This window comes from Homo sapiens, chromosome X, assembly GCF_000001405.40.
Source record: "Homo sapiens chromosome X, GRCh38.p14 Primary Assembly".
In the NCBI taxonomy this organism is placed as follows: Eukaryota; Metazoa; Chordata; class Mammalia; order Primates; family Hominidae; genus Homo; species Homo sapiens.
In genome coordinates this window covers 72,731,397-72,741,622 of record NC_000023.11, presented here as the reverse complement: position 1 = coordinate 72,741,622, position 10,226 = coordinate 72,731,397, and the positions used below count along the sequence as shown (strand labels likewise).

General features: G+C 38.2%; 1 pseudogene, besides 2 other annotated features; it reads left to right on the top strand.

Annotated features, from left to right (window-relative positions):
* On the top strand, positions 754 to 917 carry RNU1-112P (RNA, U1 small nuclear 112, pseudogene; annotated as a pseudogene).
* Positions 7,816 to 8,592: an enhancer, noted in NCBI's record as "OCT4-NANOG-H3K27ac hESC enhancer chrX:71952855-71953631 (GRCh37/hg19 assembly coordinates)". NCBI's record gives its function as "activates a minimal SCP1, AML or CMV promoter by ChIP-STARR-seq in naive H9 embryonic stem cells {active_cell/tissue: H9 hESC(naive)}" and the evidence as "EXISTENCE:reporter gene assay evidence [ECO:0000049][PMID:30033119]".
* Positions 8,711 to 9,210: an enhancer, noted in NCBI's record as "H3K27ac hESC enhancer chrX:71952237-71952736 (GRCh37/hg19 assembly coordinates)". NCBI's record gives its function as "activates a minimal SCP1, AML or CMV promoter by ChIP-STARR-seq in primed H9 embryonic stem cells {active_cell/tissue: H9 hESC(primed)}" and the evidence as "EXISTENCE:reporter gene assay evidence [ECO:0000049][PMID:30033119]".

Sequence of the window (10,226 nt, the reverse complement as noted above, 5' to 3'; positions counted from 1 at the left end):
CATGTCATAATGACAACTCAGTGAATTTATGATGAGTAGATAACAATTCTGTGTTTGTGCACCTAAAAACAGAGCTTCAAGATGCATGAAGCAAAAATGAATAGACCTACACAGAGAAATAGCTGCATCAACAATTCTCGACAAAGATTTCAATGCCCCTCAATATATTGCTGGTGAAACAAGCAGACAGAAAGTCAATGACAATATAGAAGACTCGAGCATCACTATTACCAACTTGACCTAATTGTCACATGTAGAACCCTCCACCCCACAACAGAAGACTATGCATTATTTTCAAGTGTATGTGGAACATTTACCAAGAGAGACTGTATTCCGTGCCATAAAACAAGTCTCAGTACATTTTAGACAATTCCAGTAACACAAAGTGTGTTCTTCAACCACATACAATAAAATTAAGTTAGAAATTAACGAGAGCGTTATTCAGAAAATCTACAAATATTTGGGAACCAAATAATGTGCTTTCAATTACCCTATGAATCAAATAAGAAATCATAATGAAAATTAGAAAGTGTTTTGAACTGACTGAAAAGGAAAACACAACATATCAAAATTTGTGAGAGGCTGGTTAAAAAAAAAAAATGACTCGGGAAATTTCGTAGCAGTAAAAACACCTCTATGAAGAAAGGTCTCAAGTCAATGAGCTCAGAAAACATGTTAATAAATGAGAAAAAGGAAAACAAATTAAATTAAACAGAACAAAGGTAATGGTAAGTGTCAGAGTAGAAATAATACATCCTCACCTGTCAGGGGAGATACCATGAGCACAAAGGTGGTTTTCCTAGATTGAGGCTCATCTATTGCACCCTGAGTGTGCTGACACCCGATATTTCCACAAACAGGGGAGACTCGACTGCATAATTTGTGTACATGGGGGACTGAGTTCGCACTTTCCCTGATAAAATAAAAACAAAGAAGTCAACGTAATACAAAGCAGAAAAACAATAAAGAAAATCAATGAACCCCAAATCTGGTTCTTTCAGAAGAGCGATAAAGTTTATAAACCTCTAGCCAGATGGATCAAGAAAAAAAAAAAAAAAAGACTGAAGAGACAAACTACCAATACTAGGAAAAAAGAGAGATGGCATCCCTATAGATCCTATGTTTATTAAAATGGAGAAATTTGAACAATTTTATGTCAACGGATTCAATAACTGAGATGAAATGGGGCAATTCCTTAAAAGTCACAAACTACCAAGGCTCATCCCAGAAGGAGATCATCTGAATAACCCTTTATCTAGTAAAGAAATTTAATTGGCAATTAAACACTTTCTTAAGAAAGAAAGAAAACCTCAATCATAGATGGTTTCACTAATGAATCCCTATATGAAACCATATGGAATTATATAGAAGTATGTAAACAGGATCACATACTTCTTGAATCATTCTACGAAGCCAGAATTACATTGAAAAGAATGAATTTGGGCCTCTACTTCATCCTGTATACAAAAAAATTACCCAAAATCAGTCAATGACTTAAATACAAATGCTAATAACAAAAAACTCTTTAAAGAAAACACAGCGGTAAACTTTTATACCCTTGGATTAGGCAATGGATTCTTAGATATGACACCAAAATCATGAGCAACAAAAGAAAAATGATAGATCAATTAGATTTCATCAAAATTGAAAATGCTCATGCATAAAGAACAGTATAAAGTAAAAAAAGAAAACATTCTATAGAATGATAGAAAATAGTTGCAAATTACGTATCTGACAATGGTTTACTATTCAGAATATGTAAAGAATTCCTATAGCTCAACACAAAAAAGAAAAGCAACCTAATTAATTTTTTAAATGAGCAAATGACTTAAGAGACATTTCTCCCACTAAGCCCATGAGATGATGCTCAATATCATTAGTCATCAGAGAAATGCAAATGGAAACTACAATGAGATACCACCATTAACACTTTACATACACATCTATAATTAAAAAAAAAACTTTTCTTGAAGCAAATAAGAAGCATTGGTAAGGATGTAAAGAAGTTGAAATTCTTGCACATTGCAGATGGGAATGTAAAATGGTGCACCTCTGTGGAAAAGCTTGCGGTCCCTCAAAGAGCTCTTTTCATAATGTATACAAAGATCAAAACGTTATATTGTACCACATAAACATACATGGCTATTATATCAATTAGAAATAAATTTTAAGAGTTAAACATAGGATGCCTTATGACCTAGCAATTCCACTCCTAGGGAAATATACCCAAAATAATTGAAAATAGAATCTGAGACAGTCAGTTTCATGCTAATGTTCATTGCAACAGTATGCACTATAGCCAAGAGTTGGAAACAACCAAAGGGTCCATCAGCAGTTTAATGGACAAATGAAATACAGCATGTGTATGCAATGGAATATTATTCAGCTGTGGAAAGAAATGAAGTTCTGATATGTGCTACAACATGGATGAACCTGAAAAACTTACTAAGTGAAATAAGCCAGACACAAAAGGAAAAATATTGTATGGTTCCACTTATATGAAATACCTAGAATAGGAAAATTCATAGAGACATCAAGTAGATTAGAGGTTATCAGGGGCTAAAGGGAGGAGGGAATGGAGGGTTATTGACCAATGGGTACAGAGTTTCCATTTAACGTTTGGAAGTAGTGGTGATGGTGTCACAATGTTGCCAATGTAATTAATGCCACTGAATTGTACACTTAAAAAGGGTTAAGATTGCAAATTCTATGCTACATATATTTTACTACAATAACATTTTCCAAGGCCTGATGCAGTAGTTCATGCCTGTAATCCCATGTACTTGGGATGCTGAGGCGGGAGGATCACTTGAGGCCAGGGGTTTGAGACCAGCCTGGACAACATAGCAAAACGCTGTCTCTACAAAATTTTTTAGAAATTAAAAATCTTCCAAAAGGGAAACAGAAAAAAAAATCCAGGACTACAGGAGGAACAATCCATGCCCCGCACCTCCCTTACTGCTGTCTTTTAGAACATCACAAAACCCAGGACGGCACTGGGAAACCCTAAGCCACAATTCATAAATAACACTTGGCAGCAATCTTCTTTAAGTACCATCATGACAGCTGCCTCTGAGGCGGCTGCTACATTTCCTGTCTCCCACCTCTGCTTCTTGGGTTACAACTTTACCCTCACAACCTTTCTTTCCCACTCTGCCAGCATACTGAATATTTCTCACCAATAACTTCCTTCCAATCCACCCATCCCGGTGAAAATCTTCGGCCTACATTTATGTTCCTATCTTACTGACCAATCTATGTCTAGAACAGGACTCTCAACACTGTGCTGCTTTAGGTCATACCTCAAGCTTGACAACACTGTTTGAATAGTGAGTCTGAAATATAGGAATTGACTGGGACAAACACACTTAATATTAAGTCTATAGTTTGCCTTTATTTGGTTCTGTGTGATCATAGGCAATGTACCACTCTGAGCTTAGCAACCTCATTGATAAGATAGCAACAGCATTGTCTTCCTCCAAGAGTTATTTTTCAGGATTAAATAAGACTAACATGTGGAACATATCTAGTACATAATAGAATCTAAGTAAATTTTAGTTACCTTCCCCTTCTTCATAACATGTTATTACCAGAAACTGGGATGTTGAGGTAGGGGTTGCCTGCATTTCTAGCATTTTGAGGATGACATCAGGCAGACAAACTTACCTTCAGACATGCTAACATTCATGCCTCTGCCAAGCACCAATCTTGGGATGAAGGGAGGATGGTTTGGTCTTATTATGGCAACCTTCTGTTCTTCTGCACTAAAGGCCATTGCTATTTAGAAAAAAAGAATCCTCCCGTGAAGAATTTTGTAAATTAACTACTTTACAGTTTCAAAGCAAACAATTACATCTTTTGAGTAAAGCTGAGTTTTAATATATCTTATATATTGAGCTTGCTTAGAGTAAGACACAGCTCTAAAATAGAGGACCACAATATCAAGGAAGTGGAATTACCCTTCTTCCAGGCAAGGAGTCATTTATTCATAAATGTATCCATTCAACGTGTATGATATGCCACTATGAGCCATTCCTGGAGATATAGAGATGGAAAAACCATGGTTCCTGCCCTCAAGGAGCCCACAGTCTAGTAAGGGAGACAGAGAAGTAATTAGACAACTACAATACAGTGCACTAGGTGTTGTGAGTGAGAGGAATTTTAGGAGCAGGTTGGTAGGAGGCAACACCTGAGTTGTCTTGAAGTTCATGTATGAGATATAAAAACTCACCCCATTGCTATTATTATTTTTTCTAGGTTTGCGTATACATATATAAATTCATAGAAAAACATCTGGAAGGATCACACCAAGCTAGACATTTAAAGTCAACAAGTACTTCCTAAATCCCTACCATGTACCAGGTACTTTTTCTAGGCGCTTGTGACATATCACTGAACGCAACAGACCAAGATCCCTGCTCTTGTTGGTTGAGGATTATATTTTAGCAGAGGGAGATACACAGTAAAAAATAACTTACATAAGTAAAATATATATTGTATGTTGTAAGGTGATAGGTGCTATGAAAGAAAAAAGAAAAAGTTTAGTAGAGATAGAGAATACTTGGGAAAAGGTAGTCAGGCTGCGGTATTAAATACGGTGATCATGGTTGACCTCCTTGAGATGGTGGAAGTTGAGTAGAGACTGGAAGTAGGTGAGGAAACTAGCCAAATGAATATCTGGGGAATAGTGCTCCAGGAAGGGCAAAGAATTAAAGAAAGGCCCTAAAGCAGACATGCGGTTGACATGTTGGAGAAACAGCAAGGTCATTAACGCTGGAGCCGAGTGAATGAGGGATAGAACAGGAGGTGAGGTTACAGAGCTAAGAGGAAAAGTATGCTGATGAAGAAGGCAATTTCATTTACAACAGCCATGAAAAACCAAACACCTAGAAATACATCTAATGAAGGAGGTGAGAGGTCTGTACAAAGAGAACTAAAAAACACGGATAAAAGAAATCACAGACAATGCAAACAAATGGAAAAACTGTTTGGAGGAATCAATATCATTAAAACGGCCACACCACCCAAAGCAATCTATAGATTCAACACAATTCCTATCAAGTTACCAATGTCATTCTCCACAGAATTAGAAAAAAACCTATTCTACAATGTATATGGAACCAGAGAAAGAGCCAGAATAGCCAAACCGATTCTGAAAGAATAAAGCTGGAGGCATCACATTACCAGACTTGAAACTATCCTACAAGGCTACAGTAACCAAAGCAGCATGGTATTGGTGCAAAAATGGACACATAGAACAATGGAACAGAATACAGAACCCCAAAACAAAGCCACACACCTACACCCAACTGATCTTTGACAAAGTTGACAAAAATAAACCATGGGGAAAGGACACCCTATTCAAATAGTGGTGCTGGGATAGCTAGCTAGCTACATGCAGAAGAATGAACCTGGACCCCTACCTCTCACTATATACAAAAATTAAGTCTAGACGGATTTAACATTTAAATGTAAGACCTCAAACTATAAAAATATTAGAAGAAAACCTAGGAAAATTCTTCTGGACATTGGTCTGGGTAAAGAACTCATGACTAAGACCTCAGAAGCAAATGCAACAAAAACAAAAATTGACAAGTGGAACCTAATTAAGTCAAAGAGCCTCTGCGTAGCAAAACCATCAACAGAATAAACAGAAAACCTACAGAATGGAAGAAAATATTTGCAATCTGTGCATCTGACAAAGGACTAATATCCAGAATCCATAAGGAACTTAAACAAAGCAGTGAGAAAAAAACAGTCCCATTACAATGTGGGCAAAGGACATGAACAGACACTTTTCAAAAAAGCAAACAAGTGGCCAAAAAAAATATGAAAAAAATGCTCAGCATCACTAATCATCAGAGAAATGCAAACCAAAACCACAATGAGATGACATCTCGCATAAGTCAGAATGGCTCTTATTAAAAAGACTAAAAATAACAGATGCTGGCAAGGCTGAGGAGAAAAGGAAATGCTCATAGATCATTGGTGGGAATTTAAGTTAGTTCAGCCACTGTGAAAAGCAGTTTGGAGATTCCTCAAAGAACTAAGAGTAGAACTACCATTAGACCCAGCAATCCCATTCCTGGACATCTACCCAAAGCAAAAGAAGAAATCATTACATGAAAAGACACCTACACTTGTATGCTCATCGCAGCACTATTGACAATAGCAAAGTCATGGAATCAAACTAGGTGCCTATCAATGGTGGATTAGATAAAGAAAATGTGATACATATACATCACGGAATACTATGCGGCCATAAAAGTAATGAGATTATGTCCTTTGCAGCAACATGAATGCCTCCGAAGGCCATTATCCTAAGTGAATTAACGCAACAACAGAAAATCAAATACTGCATGTTCTCATTTATAAGTGGGAGCTAAACAATGGGTAGACATGTACACAAAGATGAAAACAATAGACAGTGGGGACTCCAAAAAGGGGGTAGGGAGGAAGTGGGGCAAGGGTTGAAAAACTACCAATTGTGCAATATGTTCACAATATGAGTGATGGGTTCAAGAGAAACCCAAACCTCAGCATTATGCAATATATCCATGTAACAAACGTGCATATATACCCCTTGAACCTAAAATAAAAGTTGGAAAGAAAAAAAAATTTAAAGATATATAATAATTGTGTGCTTTACTCTGTCTATGGGTGAGGGGTCATGCAGGATTTTGATAAGAGAAATGCTGTATTAGCTAATGTTTTAATATAATATGATGTCATATCTTATCGCTCCGACTGCTGTGTTGAAGACAGGCTTTGGGGAAAGAAACAAGCACAGAATCAGGAAAACCACTTAAGAGGCTTTTGCAGTAATGTAAGTGAGAGATGACATTGGTTCAAACCAAGGTGATATCAGCAGAGGTCATGAAAAATGGTAGCCTTCTGGATATATTTTGAGGTTAGAACCAGTCGGACTCCCTAAGAGTTTGCAAATGCGTGGGAAAGAAAGAGAGGAGTTAAGAATGACTCCAAGGATTTTGGCTTTAATTACTGGAAGAATAGAGTTTCCATCAACTTAGATGGGAACACTGTGGACAGAGTCGTTTTGGAGGGGATAGATCAGGAATTTAATTTTGACCACACTAAATTTGAGATGTCGGGCCTGGTAGCTCACGCCTGTAATCCCAGCACTTTGAGATGTCTATTTGACATTCAAGAAAAGATGAGTAGGAAGTTGAATATATAAACCTGGAGTTCAAGGGATACGTCTGTTCTGGAGTAATGCATTTGGGAGTCATTGTCGTATGGATGGTATCTAAAGCCTGAGACTGAATGAGAGCACCAAGCAAATGATTGTTCTAGTTAGAGTAGTAAAAGGCGATTCAAGGAGTAAGCCCTGGGGCATTTCAGTATCAGTAGATTGGGAAGGAGGGAAGGGATCAGCAGAATAAGAAAGAGCAACTGATGTGGAATAGAAGGAAAACTAGGAATGTTTGGTATTCTGAAAGCTGACTTGAAGGGATGGGTTGCCCCTCCACACCTGTGGGCATTTCTCGTTAGGTGGAACGAGGGACTTGGAAAAGAAAGAGACACAGAGACAAAGTATAGAGAAAGAAAAATGGGCCCAGGGTACCGGCGTTCAGCATACGGAGGACCCGCGCTGGCACCAGCCTCTGAGTTCCCTTAGTATTTATTGATCATTATCGGGCATTTCCCGGAGAGAGGGATGTGGCAGGACAATAGGATAATAGTGGAGAGAAGGTCAGCAGGTAAACACATGAACAAATGTCTCTGCATCATAAACAAGGTAAAGAAAAAAGTGCTGTGCTTTTGATGTGCATATACATAAACATCTCAATGCCTTAAAGAGCAGTATTGCTACCAGTATGTCCCACCTCCAGCCCTAAGGCAGTTTTCCCCATCTCAGTAGATGGAATATACAATCGGGCTTTACACTGAGACATTCCATTGCCCAGGGACGAGCAGGAGACAGATGCCTTCCTCTTATCTCAACTGCAAAGAGGCATTCCTTCCTCTTTTACTAATCCTCCTCAGCACAGACCCTTTACGGGTGTCGGGCTGGGGGACAGTCAGGTCTTTCCCTTCCCACGAGGCCATATTTCAGACTATCACATGGGGAGAAACCTTGGACAATACCTGGCTTTCCTAGGCAGAGGTCCCTGCGGCCTTCCGCAGTGTTTTGTGTCTCTGGGTACTTGAGATTAGGGAGTGGTGATGACTCTTAAAGAGCATGCTGCCTTCAAGCATCTGTTTAACAAAGCACATCCTGCACAGCCCTTAATCATTTAACCCTGAGTTGACACAGCACATGTTTCAGGGAGCACAGGGTTGGGGGTAGGGTGACAGATTAACAGCATCTCAAGGCAGAAGAATTTTTCTTAGTACAGAACAAAATGGAGTCTCTTATGTCTAGTTCTTTCTACACAGACACAGTAACAATCTGATCTCTCTTTCTTTTCCCCACACAGAGTGAAGAAAAATCAAAGAGGGAGCAATTAAGTGAGTCAAACGCTGCCAATAGGTCAAATAAAATGAGAAACGGGAACTGACCACTAGCTTAGCAAATTGTAAAAAATGGGTGAAGGGAGATCTTTCAGACAGAAGGGGTAGCATAATTGTGAGAGAATGCACAGTGATTTCCGGCAACTGCAAATAATTGAAAACAGCTAAAGCATAAGAATATAGCAGGGACTGGAAAGGAAAGCAACAGATGGATACTCGCAGCCTGGATCACAATGTCACACTAGACATTTTGGATTTACCCTAAAGGCTATGAGAATCCACAGGAAAATTTTATGTTAGGGAGTAACCGAGCCAGATTTGGATTTAAAAGATCAATTAGGCAGTGGTATGAAAAATAAGGAACAAATCTGAAGGCAAAGAGACTAGTTTAGAGGCTGTTAACAATTGTCTGTGGAGAAACTCAGCCAGTGACCATGGGGATCAAGATGGGAAGGTGACTCAGATAAATATTTAGGAAATAGAATCTATAGGACTTAATGACAATTTTGACATGTAGGAAGGCAGTGTTAAAGAGACGAAGGTGTCACAAATGACTCAGGTTCTGGTTTGGGTAAGTGGGTAGGGAGCGGTGCCATTCACCCAGGAACCCTTGAGAAAGAGCAAGATTGCCAGAAAAAAAAAAAATCACACACTCACAAAGCGCAGAAAGCAGCCTAGTATCTTAGACTTAGTGCATTCTCATTTAGTCCTGTTAGGAAGGTGGAAAAACAGGCTTAGAGAGATTAGGTAACTTACCCAAGGTTACACAGCCAGAAAGTGAGAGTCCAGATGAGAACCCAGTTCCCAACTCCAAGCCTACTGTTCATTCCACTTCTCCAAAACTGCTGTGAGAAAAACTTTGGGACAAGGAGAAAGAGTATTTTTTTAAATGAATAGAGAAGGCCAACAGGTGGAGAAAAGAGGTGGTTGTCGGCTTTTTAGGGCAGGTTTCCTAAATATATTTTTTTCTCTGAATCTGCCTGGATGGAAGATACAGAAAATACAAATGTTTACTAGCAACACATTTGGTTTTATTAAATTGAATGGTTTGTAATGTAAAGTAGGGAAGACACCAAGGTGGTGCTTTTTCAGAACCTCTCAATGTCTTGTTGGCTTGTCTTCATCATCTTAAGGTTATCCACAATAACTAACTACTGATGGGCCCAGGGGTAGTACTGAATGGTCCATGCTCTGGTGGTATTCACAGTCTAGTGAGGAAGATAAACACAGCATTACAATACAAGGTGTTCAGAACATCTAGCAACATCGTTTCTTTAAAAATAAACTTTTTATTTTGGAATAATTTCAGATTCACAGAAAAGTAGCAAAGGGTACAGAGAACTGTCTTATACTCCTTATCCAGTTTCAGTTTCTCTTAATGCCATCATCTTACATCACAGTAGCATATTTATCAAAAATTAAGAAACCAACATTGGTACCTTACTTTGAACAAAATCCCAGACTTTATTTGGATTTCACCATTTTTTTTAAAAAGTTCTTTTCCTGTTTTGCAGTCCAGTCCAGGGTTCTCTGCTGCATATTGGTTGTCCTTAGCTCCTTAGTCTCTTCTGATCTGTGGCAGTATCTTGGTCTTTTCTAGTTTTTCAGAAAGTATCAATTTGAAAAAAATATTTTATATGGTATATACATATAATATTACTATATATAGCAGATTGAACCACCTTGATTACCTTTGCTCAGGTATATTAAAGGAATAGGTTTATTTGGTGAAAATCAGACATAAAACACCT